We start from the raw sequence: 26,622 nt of genomic DNA on the forward strand, positions 1-26,622 counted from the left end.
GAGGGTGGATCACCTGAGGTCAGGAGCTCGAGACCAGCCTGGCCAACATGGTGGAATACCATCTCTGCTAAAAAAAAAAAATACAAAAATTAGCTGGCCGTGGGCGGGCGCCTGTAATGCCAGCTGTTCGGGAGGCTGAGGCAGGAGAATTGCTTGAACCTGGGAGGCAGAGATTGCAGTAAGTGGAGATCACACCACTGCACTCCAGCCTGGGTGACCTATCTCAAAAAAAAAAAAAAAAAAAAAAGAATCAAAGATTATTGCTATGTTTTAAATTCTTTGACATCAACCTTATCTCAATTGAGTTGTGAAAAAAAATCACTCTTTTGATAGTAGCCATAATGGTCTACAATAGGTTCACAAAAATGTTGGGCTGGTGCACATGGGAAGAGATCAGGCCATGCCAGCATCCAGAGAATGCTTTATGTTATTAGAGCATAAGAAGTCATGTACAGTTCCAAAAGTGCACACTGTCACAAAATCATGGGAAGGGAGAGGGCCACATCTAAAATGTAACTGGAAAGAGGCATTTTCAATGAAATAGCACTTCATTTGCTTTCAAAAATTACAGTCTTTAAAAATGGTCCAATCTAACTATTATTGTTCTTAGGCCATAGCGACATGTCTGTAACATATGAGTAACTTTATTCCAGGCTGGAAATGTTCCTCTTTGGCCACACTGTGTACACAGTCAAAACGAGATGATAATGTGCCTAGGTAAATTTTACCTAACACAACCTTGACTGATGAAAGTACTTGATAAATATTATGCTTCATAATTTATATCAAAAAAATCAATTCAGAGAATGTTGGAAACAAAACTAAAACTAATGGGAGTGTCACATTATAGGTTTCTGGAATTAAAGGGACTTATTGTCATTCAACAGATATATGAAATACTGAACAAATATTGTCTGGTCATGATCACTTCAAATTGTTTAGGTTATAGATTGCCTAATCTAGTTTAATATAATCAGTATTTTTAAGAGAAATAAAAATGAAAAAAAATAAACCATATATCACCAAGACCTTCTGGATGCTTTTACACTGCATTTGGAGGTCCATCCCCTGGCCACCCTTCTCTGGGGCCACATGCAAGCATTTGACAGAGCTGCTAAGTGAGATCCCTTTCTAGTGGTAGGTATTATACTTATGTAGGCATCAAACCACACTGCCAAAGCCACTATTCCCCTGAAATAAACCCTCCATGGCACAATGCACTTGATTTTTAATATTTTAAAAATCAGACATCTCTAATTATAGTAAATAACATATATAGACATCTGTTTCTTTATGATCTAAATCAGTGCTTCTCAAACTGTGTGTGAGGAAAAACCATTTTTTTAAATTATTATTTCTAGTCTGTCATCTACTAATACTTTTGCAAAATACACAAATGATGAATTATTTAAAAATTAATTTTTAAATAACATACAAAATATAACCTTAATTTTTAAATTATTCTTAGATGCAACAGGCAAAAAAATTACTCTGTCAAGTTTCTAAGAGTTTTGCAACACTTACTCTCAATCTTAGTACTTATCTGGCCACAGACAGTGGGTAGACAGCATGGGCCTGGGACCACACTATGAGTAGCACTGATCAAAGTGCCATGCATGTATTTATTCAAGAGGTATACTTTACCTCTGACATCCTTTCCAAATCCCATCGAAGAAACTTTTTTGTCCGCTTGTTCACTGTTGTTTGATTTCTCCTTCAGAACATCGTCATCACTAACAGCATCAACAGAAAATTTTTTCTTTTTCTTTTTCTTGTGTCGAGGTGGAAGCTTTTTTGGGAAAGTAAACATTGGGAATATCACAAGAAACATTGCAATGGCACAAAGGAGGAATCCACTCCACCTAAAAAATTGGAAAATGTGAATAGCATTTACGTCTTTTCTTTTGTGAGTGAGAACAAATTAGTAAAGCAGAAGTTTGTGGTGAAAAAATTTTGAAGAAAACTTTTTGTAATCAACTGTAAAGCAGTAGGAAGTTGAGCAAACTAAGAAAATGAAGGAATTCTCTCTTTCTGTGATATAAATGAGAAATCTACTCAATAATTATACCAGTGTTATACTGAATATTATAATCAGCAACCTGATTCGAATTTCATTCAAGTATTTTTGAGCACCAATGAGTTAGTTCTGCTAGCATTGCTAACCTTCTACAATGTGTATTTTATGATAAATCCCTAAATTATAAATTCAATAGAAAAATAATGTAGACAATAGCATGTTATGTGGACCAATATAGACTTTTTTTTGTCATAAGAAAAGCATTAATATCCCATGTGAAATATGTTTTAAATTATTGAGAATATTCAAATATTTTTCTGCAAACACTTAAGAATGTATTGACCCAGCTGGGCGCGGTGACTCACACCTATAATCCCAGCACGTTGGGAGGCTGAAACAGGAGTTTGAGACCAGCCTGGCCAACATGGTGAAACCCTGTCTCTACTAGAAATACAAAAATTAGCCAGGTGTGGTGGTGGGCACCTGTAATCCCAGCTACTCGGGAGGCTGAGGCAGGAGAATCACTTGAACTTGGGAGGCGGATGTTGCAGTGAGCAGAGATCAGGCCACTGCACTCCACACTCCAGCCTGGGTGACAGAGCAAAACTTAAAAAAAATAAAAAGAGAATGTATTGCCTCCCACTTAGCTGGCCTTCACAATACTTCACCAAGTATGAGGGTTACCAACAAAGACATTTAAACTTAGTCCTTGCCTTCAAGAACCTACAACCTGTTCATAAGCAAGCCAAAAATATAAGAAACCTCTAAGAAATGCAAAATGTATATAATTAAATATTAGGTTATATGGTACAGATTATGAGTGCTACCAAAATTCAGAGAGGGGAAATTAATGTGTATCGGAAAGCTTCCTAAAAGAAGTAGAACAGGAGCTATTAGACTCAGAATTCTGTCGTGAAATTCACCTGAGATTGCCACGTTGCAGAGCACTAGGAAGCAAACACAGGGAGTAGAATGAAATTGTAGTATTAGAGCCCTGGGCTTCTTGACTGCATGATGCCCCGTGGGGCAATTTCTCAGTTCCCTTTCAACATTTCCTTAGCAATCAGAGGTCCCTGGCACTCCCTAACAGGGTAGCCACGTTCTAACTATGATTCCTCACCTCCAAACTCTGCCATTCAAGCTTCCAAGTTCATAAATGCTCAACACATTCCCATCAACTGTAACCAGAATGCAAGCAGCATCATAAGTATTAACGCTGAATTCAATCAGGTAAGACTATAGATCCATTGCAAAGTGAAAATTCATTTTTTAAAATAATGTTTCTATTAAAGTGCTGTTATCAGCTGCTAAAGGTCACAGTTGAGAGAATGATTCCTACAATTAGTCATTAATAATTTAGTGTGCTATTTTCAAAGATATTTAAAGTTACATCAAATGAAGATTTTAAGATAGTCAGTAAAGGGCTTTATTTTGAGAAGTTTGTTCGGGGCAGACTTCCAGCAATCTCAGTTATTCAGAATGTAATCACCAGCCCAGTGCCTGACACAGATTAGGTACTCAAAAAAACATGCTGAATAAATAAATTGAAAGAGACAGTTTTAATTTTAAAAATGTCAGCTGGTTACGGTGGCTCATGCCTGTAATCCCAGCACTTTGGGTGGATCACCTGAGGTGTAATCCCAGCACCGAGATGGGTGGATCACCTGAGGTCAGGAGTTTAAGACCAGCCTGCCCAACATAGTGAAACCCCATCTCAACTAAAAATACAAAAATTAGCCAGGCATGGTGGCAAGTGCCTGTAATCCCAGCTACTCGGGAGGCTGAGGCAGGAGAATGGCTTGAACCCAGGAGGCAGAGGTTGCAGTGAGCTGAGACCTTGCCACTGCACTCTAGCTTGGGCAACAAGAGTGAAACTCTGTCTCAAAAAAAATAAAAATAACTAAAAAGGTCATCTGTCTATAGAGAACATAGCTATGATAATGCCTGGCCCTCTTAGTACTTGGCTGCTTACGAGGTCCTTACCCATCAGGCACTATCAGGCACTGCTCACTTGCCTCTGGAGCCTCTCTCCACGAACTCTCCATTCCAGTCCCCTGAATCCCTGCAGCTCCCTGAGCTCTCACACTCTCTCCAGAAGACGGCAGGCAGTGTAGTGTAGGGGACAACTCATGGGCTGTGGCTTCAGGCAGACCTGGGTTTGTATCCTGTCTTTACCACTTGCTTACTATAGGATCCTGTGAAAATTATTTTGCTTTTCCAAATCAGCCTTCTTATCTACAAGTGGGGTATTAAGTATGTTTGGGGATCATCAAAATTAAATAAGACAGTGTTATGATGGATGTCATAAAACATCTGTCCCCAAATTAACAATCAGTTCATGATAGCTAGTTTTGTGTGTCTGGTTTGCTTTTTAATTAATTATTTATTTATCTTGATTTTTTTCTTTAGAGACAGTGCCTCACTCTGTCACCCAGGCTGGAGTGCAGTGGCACGATCATGGCTAACTGCAGCCTTGACCTCCCGAGCTCAAGTGATCCTCCCACCTCAGCCTACCAAATAGCTGGGACTACAGGCGCAGTGGCTAATTTTTTACTGTTTTGTAGAGAAGTGGGGGGTCTCACTATGTTGCCCAGGTTGGTCTTGAACTCCTGGGCTCAAGTGATCTGCCCGCCTCAGCTTCCCAAAGTGCTGGGATTATAAGCGTGAGCCACCGCACCCGGCATGCTTTTTACATAGCATTGCACTCAACCTCCCTGCCCATCCCAGCCCCAGCCATTAACTTAAGATTATATGCAAACATTAAAAATTTACTCATAATAGCCCAAAGTGAAGGTGCATAACAGGAAGGGGAGAAATACAGCAAATAAACAAAAAAATACAAAAATAATATTAAAGTGTGGGGTCACTTCAAAGCAGAGCAAACCAACTCACATTATTCAACAGTCTCAAATAACATCGATACAACACATCATATAATAATGATGCTAAAGAGGACTCTGAGAAAAGCTGAGACAAGAAAGTGTGCAGTACCTGTTGGAAAAAGACACATCAATAACAGCTACACTTGAAAAGCCAAGCTACCTAAATCCCTTTCATGAACCATGACTCAGAGACCATTCACTAAGGGGGCCAGTTAAGAGAGTGAACTGAGAGCTGTGCTCCGGAGTCAGTTTCTTTTCCCAGCTCTCACTGACTCTGAGGCTAATGGAAAATTATTGAACTCCCTGAGCATCAATTTCCTCAGCTGCAAAATGCACATACCAGTGACTACCTATGGTTGTTCCAAGGTAGTTCCAAGGCTTAAATGAGAATGTCTGTAGAGCTTAGTATAATGCTTGACACAAAATAAGCACCCAATACATTTTAGCATTATTCATTCCTTCCTTCCTTCCTTCTCCCTTTCAGCATGTGCCCATTGAAAACTTATCACTGCTGCTAGACATCGTATAAAATAACATTGCATCAAATAACTATGTCTTTGTTCAAGGTAGAAGTGTGTTACAAGCAGTTACTCAATAAAATTCAAATTCATGTTTAAATAGACCCTCATTATATATTTCTATATTGACAATCTTTATCATGTATAGAACTAACATTGAGCCATTAAAAATGGATAAAATTACTTGAGCACTGATTAAATTCAAAGGACTGAATAGCTAACACATACTGTACAGCAGGAACAACTTAGAGTGCTAGACATGTAAACTCATTCATTCCTCACAATGACCCTATGATAATAAGTACCATAACTACCTTCTTTTATGGATTATAAAAACTGAGGCACAGAGTAACTTCCCCAAGCTCACATAGGTATTAGGTGGCAGACTAGGGTTTAAACCCAGGGGAATATGGATTCAGGGTCTATACTCTTCATCTCTCAATTTTATTTATTTATTTATTTATTTTGAGATAGAGTCTCGCTCTGTCACTCAGGCTGGAGTGCAATGGTGCCAACTCAGCTCACTGCAACCTCCACCTGCCAGGTTCAAGTGATTCTCCTGCCTCAGCCTCTCAAGTAGCTGGGACTACAGGCATGCGCCACCACACTCGGCTAATTTTTTTGTATTTTTAGTAGAGATGGAGGCTCGCCACGTTAGCCAGGGTTATCTCGAACTCCTGACCTTCAAGTGATCCACCTGCCTCAGCCTCCCAAAGTTGGGATTACAGGCATGAGCCACCTTACCCGGCCCTCATCTCTCAATTTTGCTGCCAACTGGACTAACATCTCCTAAAAACAGTTCAAAAGATGGCATAAAGCACTGGTAAGACTAAAGCTCCTGCCTTCCCTCCTTCTCCCTACCTGAGTTGGTTCTCCCCATCTTTCCCTCCAGATGTTTCCCTGTCACTGTGCCCTCCTTAAGGACCTCTAAATAGAACACAGAACATATGCTGGATGTTCATAAATAGAGTTAATTAATCTGGTTTTCTGACAATGAAAAACATCTCTACTCTGATTAATTTCAGAACTGGAAAGAAAACAGACAAGACCAAAAATTTCACTATGAGTCAAGAACTTAAAACTCCTGTGTTATTTCCCTAATGCTGACAGGGGAACTCCTTTCTGTATGATTTAAAAATTCTACCAGACATAACACTTCCAGCTTCAAAGAGCATTACTTATGAAAATAGGAAGTGTGTATAACAATTAATATCTGTTAGCTGCTTTGAAAATCAATAGTGTTAAACATTATTCCTACCAACCTCGGAGTTATGATGTTATTATCATGTAATGAAACACAGAGAGAATAAAGTACTCTAAGACATTTTTTAGAAAGTAATTACTTTCTCCATGTGTGTCTATGTTCCAAAAAAAAGTGAGTGAGTAATTACTTGGCACATATCTTTTCTAATACTGAAGTATTCTCTTAACTATAAAGTGAAAATGCCTTATCAATGTATATATATTGCTAATCCACATGAAATGAATTCAGGACACCAATATTTTCAGTTAGTGCTTGCAATTGTGAAAAATAACTTATCATGTTCAAGTTGAGGACTGCAAGAACTCAAACGCAACTCTGTTATTTGGATAAATAACATAACATCCAAAGTTGAAGTTCTCATTCTGAGTCCTAAGCATTACTTATTTTCCAGGACAATTAAGTCCTAGCAAGCGAGAAAGCAGCTAAATCTCTAGCACACATGAGGAAACAAAATATTAGCAAGAAAAAAGGGTCACTGAGAGTGTGACAATGGAAAAGCAGGACTGGCATTCCAGGCAGTGGGAGAGGGTTGTAAAGCAGACACCAAATACAATAAGAAAGTGAAAACAATGTATTTTTTTAAGGCACAGAAAAGATACTGAAAGGTATGATTAAAGTCAGCAGGAAAGTCCCCACGCAGCCACAGCAGTCCTTTTCCTTCACTCTGCTATAAAGGAAGCACCCCAATCCTAAAGAATGTGGATTAAGCCAGTGTCCCCAAACCCTCTGTATAAGCTCTCTGCTATAAGAAGTTACCACACACTTCGTGGCTTCAGGCAACACAATCTGATTCATGTCACAGTTCTGGAGGTCAGAAGTGTAAAATGGTTGAAAGGGCTGGAGGCTGGGGAAGAACCCATTTCCTTGCTTTTCCAGCTTCTAGAGTCCACCTGCATTCTTTGCTCGCAGCCCCTTCCTCCATCTTCAAGGCACAACACTCCAACCTGTGCTTTAATCATCGAATCTCCTTCTTTGATTCTTGCCCTCCTGCTTCCGTCTTTCCTTTGATTACACTGGGCCCACCCAGGTCATCTAAAATAATATCAGAGTCCTTAATCACATCTGCAAAGTCCCTCTTGCCATGTAAGATAACATATTCATAGGTTCTGGGGATTAGGACGTAGCTTTCTTTGGGATGTTATTAACCTGCCTGTCACCCCTTCCCAGGCACCTTTCAGCTATTTTTTGTCTCCCCATTGGAAAAATTTTAAATACAAGTGTACCATGACTTTAACTATTATTAGTAAGAACTGAAATTTAAAAATTAGAAAACAGAACTTACCAGTTTCCAATGAAACGAGGGTCATTCTGGTCAAGGTGAACAGGATTTCTGGGATCAACATAAAAACCAATAAGAAGTCCACCTAATAAATATCCCACTGCAGGGCCAAGTGCTCCCATGACATACATGATGGCTGAGAAGACAGAAGGGGAAATGTGAAATACAGCGACGTTTTATTACATGTTAGGAGTTCTCTCATTTCACTCTCATACCACAGACATCTCACAGTTCAATCCAGTTAACTTCCAAAAACGGAGACCTTTGGAGATTTGTGTCCATGTCTACATCTTGGTTTTGAAGCTTGCCCTTTGTTAACCTATTGTCCTCTTAGAGCGTAAGAATCATTGGGAGAGCTTTTTGGTGGCTTTTGTTTTGTTTTCTTTCTTTCTTTCTTTCTTTCTTTCTTTCTTTCTTTCTTTCTTTCTTTCTTTCTTTCTTTCTTTCTTTCTTTCTTTCTTTTTTGAGACAGAGTCTTGCTCTGTCACCCAGGTTGGAGTGCAGTGGCGTGATCTCAGCTCACTGCAAGCTCCACCTCCCAGGTTCATGCCATTCTCCTGCCTCAGCCTCCTGAGTAGCTGCGACTACAGGCGCCCGCCACCACACCCAGCTAATTTTTTGTATTTTTAATAGAGATGGGGTTTCACCATGTCAGCCAGGATGGTCTCGATCTCCTGACCTCATGATCCACCTGCCTCGGCCTCCCAAAGTGCTGGGATTACAGGCATGAGCCACAGCACCCGGCCCTGTTTTTTAATATAAGTGTTCAGACCCCACTCCAGAACCACTAAATTCTAATTTCTAGAAATAGAGACCCAGGCTAGTTAATGAGGCAGTCACTGAATAACCAAGAGAAGATTTTTTTTATGTCTAAGATAAGGAAAAAAAAAGGAAAAAGTAGGTTTCACTCATCATAGCTAGAAGATTCTAGCACGATGAGGGAATTTAAGACCAGATTTTGCTATGAGGCTGGATTCAGCTGAATTGACAAAACTGCTTAAGTGTCCTCACATTGCTAATATTTTTTCAAACCACCATGTTAGAATTAAATAAGATGTTACAATGCATTTGGTTTACTGTTAATTGAAGTATCTTACTCAAATATGAATAAATCTACCTAAATGGCATGGGTCAAAAGTTCCAAATGGAAAGCACCAACCACAGATGAACCAGAAAATAATTTTTTAAAGCACATGCCCAAAGGGGGTGGGGAGAGTATGTCTCACTGCCAGTGTATCAAAAAGGTTGTCACTGTATCCAAAAATCTTGCCATCAAAATGGGCATATAGGCCAGGCACGGTGGGTCACGCCTGTAATCCCAACACTTTGGGAGGCCAAGGCTGGTGGATCACCTGAGGTCAGGAATTTAAGAGCAGCCTGGCCAACATGGTGAAACCTCGTCTCTACTAAAAATACAAAATTAGCTGGGTGTGGTGGCACGTGCCTGTAATCCTAGCTACTTGGGAAGCTGAGGCAGGAGAATCGCTTGAACCTGGGAGATGGAGGTTGCAGAGAGCCAAGATAACGCCATCGCGCTCCAGTCTGGGCAACAAGAGCAAAAACTCCATCTCAGAAAAAAAAAAAAGAAAAACAGGCCAGGCGCAGTGGCTCATGCCTATAATCCCAGAACTTTGGGAGGCTGAGGCAGGTGGATCACTTGAGGTCAGGAGTTCGAGACCAGCCTGGCCAACATGGTGAAACCCCATTTCTACCAAAAATACAAAAATCAGCCAGGCATGGTGATGCATACCTGTAATCCCAGCTATGCTGGGTGGGAGGCTGAGGTGGGAAAATCACTTGAACCTGGTAGGCAGAGATTGCTGTGAGGCATGATCACACCACTGCACTCCAGGCTAGGAAACAGAGCAAGACTCCAAAAAAAAAAAAAAAAAAAAAAAAAAAAAAAAAAAAAGGGTGTATAGCAAACAACAACAAATTCATTAGCATTCCTTTAATTTTTTATTTTTCAATTTTCACTTTTATAATTTAAAATTATAAAATAAGTAATATTTTGTCAATTTTAAAATTTTAAGATAGGATATGGAATTCCTTGAGAATCATAGAAAAATCTAGCCACATTCCAAACCTAATTTTTTCCTATTTGAACTCAGTTATTTTGGGACAAATCAATAAACACTTTTTTTTTTGAGACGGATTCTCTGTCGCCCAGGCTGGAGTACAGTGGTGTGATCTTGGCTCACTGCAACCTCTGCTGCCCCGGTTCAAGCGATTCTCTTGCCTCAGCCTCCCCAGTAGCTGGGATTACAGGCACCTGCCATCGCACCGGGCTAATTTTTGTATTTTTAGTAGAGACAGGGTTTTACCACGTTGGCCATACTGGTCGCGAACTCCTGACCTCGTGATCCACCCACTTCGGCCTCCCAAAGTGCTGAGATTACAGACGTGAGTCACCACACCCAGCCAATAAACACTTTTATGGCACTGTTGTGTACAAGGCCTGGTAACAAACTCAGATGTTAAGAGTTCCTCATTTCCAATGTCAGCATACATTGTTAACCACTGAGTAAATAAGGAAGCTTTGCCATATCCTTTAAAGTTACCAGAAAGCAAAGTGGAATAATTAGAATGGCTTCACCTTACTTTATCATTCACACCTAAATACACTTTGAATGATTTTGTACCTCCTGTTACTTTTAACCACAAACAGCAAGACAGTAATTTAACACCTGCTCTCACTTTTCACACTATTTCAAAAGAGAAAGCACAGTGTTTATTTTATAGAATCATCTGCTTGTAACAATAAGACATTAAGTTCTTTGACTCTCCATCTGTGTTTGGAAATGGAGAATGGAGGCAGAGCCACAAGTAATTCGTACTTTTTCAGAAGCATGCTTCTCATCAATAAAATTAGAATTTTGATAAAGATCTTGTTAATCTCTTTGTTTATAGTCTAGACTGTAACTCAAGAATAGAAAGTACTTTTTCTGTTATAGGTATTCCCATACGCATATGAAGACAACACTTATGTTTCCACCTCCAGACAAACCGGCATCATTAACAACTTAAAACTGTAATGAGGCCAAAATGTGACATGAATCATTCTCCCAAAATAGTTCCTCTGGCATGAAAGAAGCTATCTTACACACACAGACAGGGAAAAGGGTATTTCCGCCATAGTGTTTATGCCAGGTGCACCTGACTGCAACATCTTGGAGTGGCAAGCGGGATTGTGCAGGATGTGTACAGGCCAGACACACAATATCCAGTAAGAGGAAAATTCATTAAATAGCATTCACCAAAAAAACCCTTAACTACTCCCTAAAATATAGATAAAGCTTTTTAAAATTTGGAAAAGTAACCAGAAACATTTATTTCTATTATATAGCAAGCAAGTCCAGTGGAATCACTCCCATATATATCTGTGTGCCTGTGTGTATATATATGTATGTATACGTGTGCCTGTGTATGTATATGTATGTATATGTGTGCCTGTGTGTATACAGATACATATATATATACACACACACACAATGGCACACATATACACACATATACAACTACATATATGTGTATATGTGTATATATTACAGTATATTGCAATTATATATGTATACATGTACATATATGACGGTATATTACAGTTATATAAGAATGTGTGTATATGTATATTACTCTGTATGAGTATTTATATATATATATATACACACACACACACACACAGAGGCACATATACATATATAATTCTTGACCTGGTCCCATTTAGTAAATAAGTCATTCTCTGGGAAGAAATATTTCTGGCTAGAAGAAGCCTTTCTGGCTACTGCACTAACATTAGTGGATTAACCAATGGTTCTCATTCAGAGCTTATAAGAGAAGTAAATTGTTGAAGCAAACCCGTACCACTCAACTCTTCCAGTCGAAAACTCTCAGTCCTTCCTACTGACTGAAGGTAAAGGTCTAAACTGTCCTACCTGGAGTTCAAGTGCAGGACAAACCGGCCTCCTGCTACCATTCTATCTTAAAACTGTAAGATCTAAAGCCTGTACTCCAGGCCCCATGCTCAGCACAGGCCTAGGTGGAACCAGGTCCCTTCCTTTGCTGACCTCACCATACTCTGCCTGGGCCTTTCCAACTCTCTGGATCCTACCTATTCTTCAAGGTCCAACCAAGTCCAGGCCTGACTGTCCTCCCCTAAGTGGCCTCTCTCCTCAGAATCCCTGTAGACTCTTTTTTGTCTATTCTAGCAGCCCTCACACTCCATCATGCATCTCTAGAAGTAAAAGGTTTTAAGCACTTATCTTGAATGGAAGTGTTTTCTGTGTAATGCATAGGTACTATTAGTCTCTCTCTCACAGCTGACTTCGAATGCATCAGTAAATCCTGTTGGTTCTCCCATCAAATTATATACAGCATCCAGCCCCTTCTCACCTCCATAGCTAATACTCTGGTCCAGGCTCATCTGGAAAACTGCCCTAGGCCTTCCAGCTGGTCTCCTGGCTTCTGCCCTTACTTCCCTACAATGTATGTCAACACAGCAGCCTTAATATCCTCTAGAAACATGAGCCAGATCATGTCACTTCTTGGCTCACACCCTCCAGTGCCTTCCCATCCCACTCACAGCATGAAACCCATGTGTAGCTACAGGGACGTGCCGACACATTGGCACCCTCTCCTTTGTCTCCCCACTTCATCTCTCATCACTCCCTGTTCCCTAGGCTCCAGTCATACTGGTCTCCTCGTTCTTTAACCTTCCAGGCACATCTCCACCTTAGGGTCTTACCAGTTGCTCTGTGTGCACATGTGTGTGTTTGTGTGTGTGTGTGTATGCATGTGTGTGTGCATGTGTGTGTTTTGAATGCTCTTCTGCCACATGGCCACACGGTTCCTTCACTCACTCCCTCCAGTTAGTTACTCCAACAGTTCCTTCTCACTGATGCCTGACATGGCCACCTCAACTAAAAATTAAAGACTCTTTGCCCAATTCTTACCACCCCTTTTCCCGCTTTATTTTTCTCCTAGTATATATTGCCACCTAACACTACATATTTCCTTTGTCCATCTTGTTTATCATCTGTCTTCCCCAACTGGAACATAAGCTCCTCAAGAGATGCTGGTCAGTGGTGCTCACTGCTATGTCCCCAGTGCCCTGCGCATGGAGGAGGCACACAGCCCTCTGCACTCACAAGCTCGTTACTCTCACTGCTCCCATTCAGCCAGTGAACGCTCTACTGTCATGAACAACAGTAGATGTCATGATGAAACTCTTCCTCAGTGTACACCAGCTCCTGACATCTTAGCTAATAACAGCAGATATCAACCCATATTTCATGCAGTGAACTTGATAAATTTCATGTTTTTTGACTGTGTCCCAACAGATCTGATTACACCTTCATTGGTTTTCTCTCTTGATGAAGAACTTGGAAGTTTGGGCTATTCAATGAACCAGTAATATAAACACAAATAGAAGTCCCAATCTGTCCTTCCTGCACCCCATTGGATTATCTTACAGGCAATGGAGTGCCCACTCCCCTCTGAGAGCACGCTAAATCATTCCATTCATCTGAGATTAAATGTGCCCTACTTTTTATTTCTATTTATCCTGTCAAATATTTATATCTGATCTTTTCAAGAAACTCTGCATCCTTGACAGCAGGAATCACATCCTACATAGTACTACATAGTGGATAAAGCACAGACTCCAAAATCATGTGTTCAAATCTCAGCTCCAATTCTCAACAATCTTAGGACCTTGAGCAAGTTGCTTAAGCTCTCTGAGCCTGTTTCCTCATCTGTAAAGCTGAGATGATAGAAATATTTACTCACAGGTTATCATAGGCATGAAAGGAGTTAATACCTGTAAAGCATGTGGAATGCCTGGCACACAGGCTATATAAGAATAAGCTGTTTTAGGCCAGGCATGGTGGCTCATGCCTGTAATCCCAGCATTTTGGGAGGCCAAGGCAGGCAGATCATGAGGTCAGGAGTTCGAGACCAGCCTGACCAACATGGTGAAACCCCATCTCTACTAAAAATACAAAAATTAGTCAGGCATGGCGGCAGGCACCTGTAGTCCCAGCTACTCAGGAGGCTGAGGCAGGAGAATCACTTGAACCCGAGAGGCAGAGGTTGCAGTGAGCCAAGATTGTGCCATTGCAGTCCAGCCTGGGTGACAGAATGAGACTCCATCTCAAAAAAAAAAAAAAAAAAAAAACAAAAAGAAAAAGAAAAAGAATAAGCTGTTTTAGGCCAGTTGTGGCCTGTAATCCCCATGCCTGTAATCCCAGCACTTTGGGAGGCTGAGGCAGGCTGATTGCTTGAGCTCAGGAGCTCAAGACCAGCCTGGGCAACATGGCAAAACTGCATCTCTACCAAAAATACAAATATTAGCCAGGCATGGTGGCACGCACCTGTAGTCCCAGCTACTCGGGAGGCTGAAGTGGGAGGATCACCTGAGTTTGGGAGGTCAAGGCTGCATGAGTCATGATCATGCCACTGCACTCCAGCCTGTGCAACAGAGTAAGACCTTGCCTCTTTGGACATGGGAGGCATTCAATATGAATTTTTTATAGATTGATTACATATCATGATCAAAAGAATGACCATGACCCTTATTTCTTATCCTATGTCTCTGGTTCCTCCTTTCTCTGGGTGTACCTCCTCCCAACCTTGGCAAGATGTACAGGTTACACATCAAAGGAATGCCCATCACTTGCCCATAGTCACAGACTTAGACTTATATAGATTTAGACTGTATTGGTCATCTCAGGCTGCCATGACAAAATGCCACACGCTGGGTGGCTTAAGAAACCGACATTGATTTCCTCAGTTTAAGAGGGTGGAGTCTGAGATCAAGGTGCCATCGGCACTGGCTTCTGAGGAGGCCTCTCTTCCTGTCTTGTGGTTGGCTACCTTCTTGCTGCGTCCTCACCTGGCCTCTCTCTACACGAGCAGGAAGAGAGCGTTCCGGTGTCTCTTCCTCTTCTTATAAGGACCTCATAGATTAGGGACCAGGCACATGACCTCATCTCACCTTAACAACCTCCCTAAGGGCTCCCTCTCCACATACAATCACACTGGGGGTCAAGGCTTCAACATATGAATCCTTGGGGGACACAATTCAGTCCCTAGCAGATACCAACCCAACTGAAGCCATATCATTCCTCTTTCCCTTCTCTTGCTATTACTTCACTGCTCGTCTAACATGTCTGTCCTCACCTTGACCACAGCCTGCCTCCCTCAGCCTTGGACATGATTTCTCTCCTGACTGTGCTTCCACCCCGTTCACTCAGTCGGCACACTGACATCTTCTGGTACCATCCCTTCAGGCTTGACCTAGTCCCCAGAGTCTGCTGTCTATGTGCTGGTCGCATGGTCATTCTTTCTCCAGAACATCCTGTGTACACTTGACCTAGAGCTAGCTCAGTGACCCACATGGGCTACACTCCCCATCCTTGAGAGCCCACTGCTTCACTGAGGACTCGCCTGACCCACACAGGCCACAGGAATGTCTGTCCTAGGTGCTCACATCAAGTATTATCTGCACTGCCCACTTTATTATGTTGTGTATTATCACTACACACCCATTCATCACTTTTTTCCATCTTTCCAGCTAGGTTAGACAGACTTCAGACTTTGAGGGCAGGCAACATGAATCACACTTTTCTGAATCTGCCCCAAAACCTAAAATACTGAACTATTGACATAGGAAGCACTGAAGTGAACATCCTCAGATCAGACCCCAGCCCCCACACCTGTGCCATGTCAAAAGTCACTCTCTCTGAGCCCTAATAAGATTATGCATATAACCTGCTTAATATAATAAACATAGAAGAAATATTAAGTTGGATTTTTATGTTGAATAATTACCTATTAATTCTCTAATAACTATTATTACATATTAATTTTGTATAGATAACATACATACATTATTTAATACATGACATACTTAACACCTTTATGTTATCTTAGTAAGTTATCTCTTCTGGATTCATTATTTTTGATCCAGGAACTGGTTTTTGTGACAGGCTGGGGAGATGGGAGTTGGGAAAGAGAACATCTGGCCTTTCTTTCCTTGCAGAAAGGCCAGTGTAGGGTATCTTTCTGGAGTTGAACACGTGTGTGTCTATGCCTGTTGCTATAATTATTTTAAATTAAACTTTAGGGTTTTTCCTAATGATTACTAAATATAAGATGGATTTATTTAGGGAGAACTCTCAAGAGCACAAAAAATAATTTTTAAAAAATCACCACAATCTCTACTACCCAAATAATACCACAGTGACAATAACAATAGTAATAAATATTTCATACTATTCATGTATTCATCTACTGTATAAACTTTTTAAATAGTTAGATTACACAGTAATTATTGTTCCGTAATTATGTTTTTTCATGTAGCTATCTCCAGCTTTTTCTATGTCAATAAATATTCTTCCATAACATTTGCTATGTCTAAATGGTGCCTCATCGGGTGGTTATCTTATACTTCATAGTCAATCCCCTATGGACGCCAGCTTTATGCTGTTACAAATATCTAGCTGAGATTATTGCTCTGAAGATTGTATGACCTATTTGAAGCTTTATTATGTATATGCTGCAAAGAACCAGATCCCGGCCCGGCACGGTATCTCACACCTGTAATCCCAATACTTTGGGAAGCCGAAGTGGGACGATCACTTGAGCCCACGAGTTCAAGACTAGCCAGAGCAACATAGTGAGACCCATCTTTATTATTTTATAATTAATTAATTAGTTAATTAAATTTTTTTAATGAAGCAGACCCCAACGTAAAGATTGCGACACCCACCCACATATACACACCCGCCCCTGTCGCAAATCCATTCCCAGCTCAGCTGTGTACTTTCGTGGAGTTAAGAAGCCACTTATGATGGGAAGGGTTTCTGATCTTTTCAGACCCTTCCAAAAAGGCCACCTTCAACAGGGAAAGCCAGCTCTCCATCTCACCCTGGCCTTGGACATCACAGCTGCCTCAGCCGAGAGGTGGCTCTCAAGAAGCCTGGCCCTGCCACAGCTTCCTAGCTGCCTCCTCACTGCCCCCGCCAGTGTTTCCTGCACTGATCTGCCCCAAGCTCCTGGACCTTCAGAACTTGCATTTCATTTTCTTCTTAAATTACTCTTCCCCTTATTCTATGATCACTTCTGCTTTTGACATTAAAGCACATTAACTGCTATTTTTAATCCCATTTACCATCACATTTTTAACTTTCTCCTGCAGATTTAACCTTTATTATACTCTAATCTCTCTTTCACTTTTAGCTTTTGATCTTACTTTATTTTATTTTAGATGGAGTTACACTCTTGTCACCCAGGCTGGAGTGCAGTGGTGCTACCTTGGCTCACTGCAACCTCCGCCTCCCGGGTTCAAGCGATTCTCCTGCCTCAGCCTCCTGAGTAGCTGGGATCACAGGTGCCCACCACCACGCCCGGCTAATTTTGTATTTTCAGTAGAGATGGGGTTCCACCGTGTTGGCCAGGCTGGTCTTGAACTTCTGACCTCAAGTGATCTGCCCACCTCACCCTCCCAAAATCCTGGGATTACAGGTGTGAACCACCACGCCCCACCTGATCTTACATCATTTTAAATGTATTTTATCTTTTAAAACATTTCTTGGGGTGTTATATTTTAAAAATTAACTTTCATGTTTTTCTTTTGAATGTGTTGTTACTTTCTGTCTCCTATACTTTTAAGTTTGCCTACTTTTTTAGTGCTGTTTGTATTAGGCTAAATTTATTTGTAGCAATTATCTTGATTTTAGAACTTTAAACCTTTGTTATATTCCTTAATTTTACTTTATTTTTAGTGTTGAATGCTTTTTCTTTCCTTTTTTAGTCTTCTTACATGATCTTGTTTAACAGTGTTTATCTTACTCTTCTCTTATGTGGTGCATATTTTGTGATCAGTTTTGGTGATCGCTCATGAGAAGCTGGGCGCAGCATCACACCTCTTCTGGGCATATCTTGCCCAGAGGTCTCTGTCACTGCTGCCCCAGATGCCCCTCGGGCTCATCCAGTGGGTAAAGGATGGTAGCCTAAGAGGCTTAGAGTTAATTCTCTCCAGGACTCAAGCTCACTTGGCACATGGCATGTTTGATTAGCTGGAACCCATGCTTGCTCTCTCACATTATCCAGTAATGAGAAATGTGAGTTCTAATTCAAGTTCTCTGATGAATAACTGCTGACACTAAGACGAGCCAGAGGGCTCTTTATTCAGCTCCAGCCTGGCCCTGGGGAGGGTCCTATGGGTTGACCTTCCCAATGGCTTCTCTAGAGATGGGGAGAAATTGCACCCTGCAACATTCTCTGGGAGCTACTTCACCACTCATCAAGACTGCTGCCCTCATTCCTGGCAGAATTCAGAGATGCTCCTCCTTCTTCATCACAAAAACCCAACAGGGCTGCATCAGGGATTATCTCAAACAGCGTTGTTCCATGGGATCACTTGCAACCTCGGGGAACAACTCTCTGAACTCTACAATCTATATTGAATAATTCAACCTGCCTGGAAATCTATGCCCCTGAATCACAAGAAATAATTCTGGCATATAATCCCAGCACTCTGGGAGGTCAAGGCAGGAGGATCATTTGAGTCCAGGAGTTCAAGACCACCCTGGGCAACATAGTGAGACTTCATCTCTACAAAAAAAAATTAAAAATTAGACAGGTGTGGTGGCACATGCCTGTAGTCCCAGCTATTTGGGAGGCTGGAGTGGAAGGATCCCTCCAGCCCGTGGGGTGATGGGGGTTGAGGCTGCAGTGAGCTATAATTGCACCACTGTTCTTCAGCCTGGGTGACAGAGCGAGAAAAAAGAAAAGAAAAAAAAGGAGGGAAGGAGGGAGGGAGGAGAAAGGAAAGGAAAGGAAAGGAAAGGAAAGGAAAGGAAAGGAAAGGAAAGGAAAGGAAAGGAAAGGAAAGGAAAGGAAAGGAAAGGAAAGGAAAAGAAATGATTCTGGAGCTCCTAACCGTGGTCAGCCAGGGAGCCATGGGCCTCCCTGGACGTGGGAAACTGAGGGGCCCAATCAAAACCAGCATCATGTAGGGCTGCATAGTCACCTCCTTCCTGGCCTTATGCCCTAAAAGGTCAGAGATCACCCACTCATCCATGCACTCTGTGATGCAAGGCACTGGGACAGGGAGGGCTCACTGCAAAGGTGAACAAAACTGATGCATTTTCTTCCAGGAAAGACACATGTAAAACTCACCATGATCCAAGGTTCAGTGAGTGGGTGCAACAAGCACCAATTATATGCTGTGGACTGTGGGAAAGGAATGATACGTTATAATTAGTTGGGGAGGGAGGACAGAGAAGGCTTCATGGATGCTAGACACTAAAGGCTGAGCAGCACACATGGGCAAAGGCACACAGATTTGAACGTGCATGGTGTATTCAGGGAATTGCAACTGGCCACACTCAGGGAGAGGCAGAGAAGAGTGACCACCATCGCCTGCACCCTAGGCCCATCCTGTGGCTTTGATGCACACACAGCTGCATGCAGGCTGCCAGTCCCTCTTCTCTGCGTGCCCTAGAGGGTGACGGCAGTACAGAACTGGCTCCCTCTACCATGCAATAGCATTTGGAAATGGTCTTCTGTTGTTTCCCAGATGGCAGTAGAAGAACAAGTCACGTCCACTGTGCTATTGAGGGCAGGCTCCAGCATCTAGAATGGGGAGTCCAGGCGCTCATCCTCGGGTCTCCTGAACACTTGTATCTTTCCTCCCACACCCTCTTCCCTCTCTGCTTTTGCACCAGTCATTGGGATTCAGTTGAGAGTCCAGAGTACCAGAGGCTGTCCAAGGCCTCTCTGTCCACCTCATTCCTGTTGTCCCCATCTCTTGGAAGTGGAAACAATTCCCCTTCTCATTCATTCTCTCTGTTTTGGGGCAGAATTCAGTGAAAGAAACACCACCCTCAACTGTGGTGGACATCTTTTCTTTCTGCTTATTGAATTTCTATAGTAAAAGCAATTCCATTTTCCTTTGGGGGTCACCCCTATTGCACACAGTCCTGATAGCCTGTCATTCATGGGGCCCCATCCTCCATGATTCATCAGTAGACAGGTGACCAACCCAGGCCACTCAGATACCCTTCTCCCTGGAAGATCTTTCTTCAGATGCACATGGCTCACTCACTCCCTTACTTCTTCCAGATCTCTGCCCAAATATTACCCCTTACAGAAGCCACAGTGTTCCACACATCTACACATGGCACCTGCCACCTGCTTCCATTCTGCTGTCACCCACCCTGCTGCAGTTTTCATTAAGGTGCATATCACTGCACTGCATACATTTATATATTTGTTCATTATCTGCCTCTCCCACTGGAATGTCAGCTCAATGAGAACAAGGACTGTTTTTCTCACTGATGCATTATCAGTGCCTAAGCAGTGTTGACTGTAAGCACTAATAAGCCTTTATTGAATGGAGAAGGGATGAAGACATGGACTTTGAATCTTGGGTAAAATAACAGAAGCAGCTGCAGCTTCGTCCTTACATCAGAGCCTTGAAGAATCATCCATAGGCTCCTGGTGCTAGGCCCTCAGGGCTGCCCTGTTGCAGTGAGCATCTCTACCTCCGCCAATCCCACCCCAATAGAGTCCTTGATTTACAGAGTTGGTCCCTATGGTTTACAGTCACAGATCCCTGACTCTTACCTTCTCCAGGCTCTCCACAGGCCACTACCATCCCAAGGTGGGTTTGCTGGGTCCTCAGAGCTTCCTTATAACTGACCTGGATTTACTGTTCCCTCATTTGAACTCGGTCTCTAAATTGTCACCTTCTGATTCCAAGTCACACCCCACCCCCAGCTCACTGCTCATTGCCCATGGCTCCCCCATATTCCCTCCGGTGTGTAACCCACTTTCTCAGCTGCCACACATGGCAGTGAACCCTGCTTAGAGCTGTGCCCACAGTGGTTTAAGGTTACAAGCTTAATATAGGTCCAGTCTCAGGGTCTGGGACTGCACCCAGGGTGGTGCCACAGAAAAACATTTTATGCACATGCCTAAGTCCTCAAATGACTATTAACCCTGGTGTGGGGCATAATGATAGGAGGCCACCCTCTTGTATGTGTTTGGTGACACAGCACTGCAGATAACAGAGGACATGAAGAACAATCCACGTCGCCATGATACTGCAACAGTGATACCAACTCTCTTTCAACTTACATATTCCCTGAAAAATAGCCAAAGTACTTTAAAGCACCAGAGCACTGTATTTAAAGAAAAGTATTCCAACTCATTCCTTCCACTCACAAGCACAGGCAGATAAGAGGCCTTTGATCTCAGTTATTTTGTGCAGCAATTTTTTTTTTATTTTAAGTGATTCCATTATTTTGACACAGGCCTGACAGCAAAAGAACAGCTGCCACGGCAGTCAGGGAATAGTCTATCACTTTGCTGAAACATCCAGAGAGCATCTCAGGTCACAAATGAGAGGGGAAGAGGGTTTCAGTAGATTTAGAGAGCTTTCTCCTCGCTGCCATAGAGAGAAATCATTGGTTGTAATTCACTAACTTCCTTTAGAAATATTTTCAAAGTAATTTGAAAATTATTTAGAGAATAATGTGTTCCCTAAAAAGGAACATACAAATGTATAAGAAGCAGCCAGTTATGCTTAATTAGTATCTGGGGCATGGAAGGGGAATGGGTTTAACATGCTGTGGCTTTAAAACAACAGATTGGCACATGTATCCATATATAACAAACCTGCACATTGTGCACATGTACCCTAGAACTTAAAGTATAATAATAAAAAAAATCAGATTGCCACCTGTGAGTGACCACTGTTTATACACTTCATCAGATCTTCAGGAAGGAGTACGGGGTGTTATCAGGAAGGCATGTAAAATATTAGGCCAAATTTTTTAAAGTATATTTTGGAACAAAAAATTTTTCATAAAAAGTTAAGGATGAATCCCCTTAGAACACAAACAGAAAATGGATGGGACTTATCAAAACATAAAGGAACTCATGAAAAACTTTAACCTCACAAGTTATCAAAGAAATAGAAGCTGCAGCTGGACACAGTGGCTCATGCTTATAATCCTAGCACTTTGGGAGGCCACGGCGGGAAGATCACTTGAGCTCAGGAGTTGGAGACCAAGCTGGGCGACATAGTGAGACCTAGTTCTCTACAAAAAAATTAAAAATTAGCCAGGTGTGGTGGTGGATGCCTGTAGTCCCAGCTACTTGGGAGGTTGAGCCAGGAAGATGGCTTGAGCCCAGCAGACTAGGCTGCAGTTTGCCATGATTGTGCCACTGCAATCCAGCCTGGATGACCAAGACCCTGTCTCAAAAAAAGAAAAAGAAAAAGAAAAAAAGCTGCAAACAATGAGATACAGTTCTAATTTAATAAACTCACAAAGACTGAAATAACACTCAGTGCAGAAACAAAATCAATGAGTTAGTTATTCTTGTCCAATGCTGGTACAAAGTCACACGATCAAGCTTCTGGACACTAATTCCCATATATATATCATGGTAACATTTATCACTATATTATGTATATAATAGAAACAACATTAATAATAAAGTGATTGTTAACTAAATTTTGAGATACAATGTGGCTATTAATTTTAATGTTTATGAAGAATTTTTATAGCTTGAAGAAATACTTATTTTAAAATTTAAGTGAAAATGAAGGATACAAAATTCTTTTAATAATGTGGTCACGATTATATAAACCTTCAAAAAAAGATTGGGCTGGGTGCTTAGACCTGTAATCTCAGCATTTTGCAAGGCCAAGGCTGGCGGATTGCTTGAGCTCAGTTCAGGACCAGCCTGGGCAACATAGCAAGAACCCATCTCTACAAAAAATACAAAAATTAGCTGAGCATGATGACATGCATCTGTAGTCCCGGCTACTCAAGAGGCTGAGGTGAGAGGATCACTTCAGTCCAGGAGTTTCAGGCTGCAGTGAGCCGTGATCATGCCACTGCACTCCAGCCTGGACGACAGAGTGAGACCCTGTCTCAAAAAAACAAACCAACCAAAGAAAAAAAAATATCTAGCAGGAAACAATTGTAGAAAATATTTCTGAACAGGCACTTTACCAAAAAAGATACATAAATGGCAAATAAGCACATGAAAGATATTCGGCATCATTAGTCATCAGTAAAGTGCAAATTAAAACCACAGTGAAATACCACTAAACAGCTATTTGAATGGTTAAAATTAAAAAGACAGACCATACCAAGTGTTCTTGAGGATGTGATGCAAACTAGAACTGTCATACCCTGCTAGTGGGAATGTAAAATTGGTACAACCACTTTGGAGAACATTTCAGTAGTGTCTTAAGGAGTCAAACATATACATATCACTTGATTCAACCATTCCACACCCAGGTATGATCACAAAAGAAATAAAAACATATGTCCATACAAATGTTCATAGAAGCCTTATTCGTAGTAGTGAAAAACTGGAAACATCCAAAACATCTATCTAGAGATGAAGAGATAAACAAATTATAGTATGGTCATACAATGGAATACTACTTAGCGATATAAAGAAATGAACTATTGATACTTGCTGAAATGTGGAGAAATCTCATAATAATTATGTTGAGTGAAAGAAAGCAGACATAAAAGAGTACACACTGGATGATTCAATTTATGAAATTCTAGAAAACGTGAACTATCCCATAGTAATAAGAAACCAGAGCAATGTTACCCGGGGACTGAGGAGGTCAGGCGGAAGGAGGGATTCAAAAGAGGCCCAAAACCACTCTTGGCAATGTTGGATCTGGATCTGTTTGCCATCTTGACTGTGGTGATGGCTTCACTGGGGTGTGTGTGGGTGGGGGGTGGGGTGGTAGCAGTAGTCCCCACTTATCCTTGGTTTCACTTTCCAATATAACAATTACCCACAGCCAATTGCAGTCCAAAAATATTAAATGGAAAATTCCAGAAATCAACAATTCTTAAGTTTTAAATTGCATGCTGTTCTGAGTAGCCTGGTGAAATTTCATATTGTTCAGCTCTGTCCCCACCGGGGATGTGAATCCTCCCTTTGTCCAGCGTCCCGACGCTGTTTATGCTACCCACGCGTTAGTCATCAACATCATCTGCTCCTGACATCCAGCCGTCGAGGTCGTCGTGACTGGATGCCAGAAGCAGACGGTCCTTCCTCTGAGTGTCGTTAGAAGGTCAACTCCACAACTGTCAACTGTGCCTACGTCATTCATCTCCCTTCATCTCATCACACAGACATTTTATAATCTCACATCACCACAAGAAGGGTGAGCACAGTACAATAAGATATTTTGAGAGAGAGACCACATTCACATAAATTTTATCATAGTATATTCTTGCAATTGTTCCATTTTATTATTGTTGTTGTTAATCTCCTACTGTGACTAATTTATAAATTAAACTTTGTTATAGGTATGTATACGTATGAAAAGACAGTATATATAGGGTTCAGTTCTATACGAGGTTTTAGGCATGCATCAAGGGTTCGGGGGTATCCCCTGCAGACAATGGGGGACTATTGCATATTTACATATATGTATGGGGTGTGTGTGTGTGTGTGTGTGTGTGTGTGTGTGCATATATGTGTTAAACCTTTTCAAATTGTATATTTAATTATGTACAGTTTATTTTATGTCAATTTTATCTCAGGAATAAAAGGAAGGACCAGAGATCTAAAAGTGGATTCTGGAAGTGGTTGCACAACTCTATACATTTACATCATTGAGTTGTATACTTAGAGTAGGTAAACATGGTATGTAAAATAGGCTTCCAAAAAGTCATTAAAAAAAAATAGAATAGAAGGAAATGCATCCATGTGTTAAAAGTTGTTAGCTCAGGTTAGTGAAATTACAATGTGGGATTTTGGTGTTTTCCTTATAACTTTTCATATTTTCAGTTTTCTCTAATTGAATACATATTAAAATAAGCAAAAAAATTAAACATATCTTTGGGAATTAGTAGTAGCTTTATATTATTCAGCTGCTAATACTCCAGCCATCAAATGTGCTATCTTTGTGTAAAGTTAGGACAAATCAGTATTTTTTTACCTTGAAGAAGGCCTTTACAGGACAATGGACTTGTTTTATTTGTTCTTATGTCTATAGCATTTCTTGCAGGGGCACCTGACACATCCTGAACATCAATAATCTCTGAAGAATGTATGTACAGGACAGTATTTGCAAAGCAACCATCCCATTTTCTATAAGATTGATCTGCCTAGTACTTCAAGATGACTTCTTATAGGCCAAACTATTATAACAATTCAAGGGTTAACAAACTACCAGCAGATCTGGTAAATACAGTTTTATTAGAAAACAGCTATATGGATTCATTTATGTATAGTGTATGGCTACTTACACCAAAATGGCAGAGTTGAGCGACTGCAACAGACATGGTACAGCCCACAAAGCTTAAGATATTTACTATCTGACCCTTTATATAAAAAGTTTGCCGGCCCTTATAATAAACCGTGGCAGTCTTTTATTAAGCATTTACTGTGTTCCAGGTATCAGCAAAATGTTTGCATACATTATTTTAATTTTCACCCCTAAGGTAGTTATAATTATTTAAGCTATGACTATAAACCACACAAGTATGGGTAAATTTTTATTTAGACGCATATCTGAAAAAGCCATTTCTCTATAAAGTTTATAGTTTTAACATGTTAACTATGTAGAATAAAATTATGCAAGGAAATCAGAAGACTATTTGCATAAAAAGAAAATTTATTTGTAAAATCAATTTTTCCAGAGCTGGCAGTATCTCAGAGGTTCAACTTATAAAGGCATAAACCCAAAGCAGTATTTTAATTGAACCTTAATTCATGCTGAAGTAAAATAGAATCATAACTGTTATTTAATGACTACCTTTCAGAAACTACACTAGGTACTTCACATTACTTGTGCCATCAACACTAACAACCTTATGGAAAAAAGCATACTGTCATTTTCAATTTACAGATGAGAAAGCTGAGTCCCTGAGAAGTTAAGGAGATAGGCAATTAGTAAGTGGTAGAACCCAAATTAGAACTTAACTCTGTCTGAACCCAAAGCCTGTCCTCTTTTCATTTAAGGGCACATTTCTCCAAAACACAAAAAGGTATCAAAATTTTAATTATAAGAAACTTAATTAAACTAAAAAGCTTCTGTACAGCAAAAGAGAGAGTCAACAGAGTGAACAGTCAACCTGCAGAATAGGAGAAAATATTTGCAAAATTATATATACAACAGGGGACTGATATCCAGAATTTATAAGGAACTCAACCCAACAACAACAAAAATAATTCTATTAAAAAGTGGGCAAAGGACATGAATAGATAATTTTCAACAGAAGGCATATAAATGGCCTACAGGCATATGAAAAAAATGCTCAACATCATTAATAATCAGAGAAATGCAATTTAAAACAAAAATGAGATATAATCTTACACCAACCAGAATGGCTATTATTAAAAAGACAAAAAATAACAGATGTTGGCAAGGATACAGAGAAAAGGGAACTCTTATACACTGTTGATGGGAATGTCAATTAGTATAGCCACTGTGGGAAACAGTATGGAGATTTCTCAAAGAATTAAAAATAAAACTAACATTTGACCTAGCAATCCCACTACTGGGGTATCTACCCAAAGGAAAGGAAATCAGTATATCGAAGGGATATTTGCCTTCACACACTTATCATTGCACTATTCACAATAGCAAAGATACGGAATCAACC

At 40.8% G+C, this 26,622-nt stretch overlaps 1 protein-coding gene across 3 annotated transcripts in view; it reads right to left on the reverse strand.

Annotated features, from left to right (window-relative positions):
• The window catches only part of SLCO5A1 (solute carrier organic anion transporter family member 5A1), a 167,933-nt gene that overhangs the window by 86,734 nt on the left and 54,577 nt on the right, over positions 1–26,622 (reverse strand). For all 3 annotated transcript variants that reach the window (NM_030958.3, NM_001146008.2, NM_001146009.1), the window contains 2 exons: positions 7,964–8,096; positions 1,645–1,862 (listed from right to left, as the gene is read on the reverse strand). In NM_030958.3, the coding sequence (NP_112220.2) occupies positions 1,645–1,862; positions 7,964–8,096 (351 nt within the window). The remainder of the gene's footprint in view (positions 1–1,644; positions 1,863–7,963; positions 8,097–26,622) is intronic.

This window comes from Homo sapiens, chromosome 8 (assembly GCF_000001405.40).
Source record: "Homo sapiens chromosome 8, GRCh38.p14 Primary Assembly".
NCBI classification, from domain to species: Eukaryota; Metazoa; Chordata; class Mammalia; order Primates; family Hominidae; genus Homo; species Homo sapiens.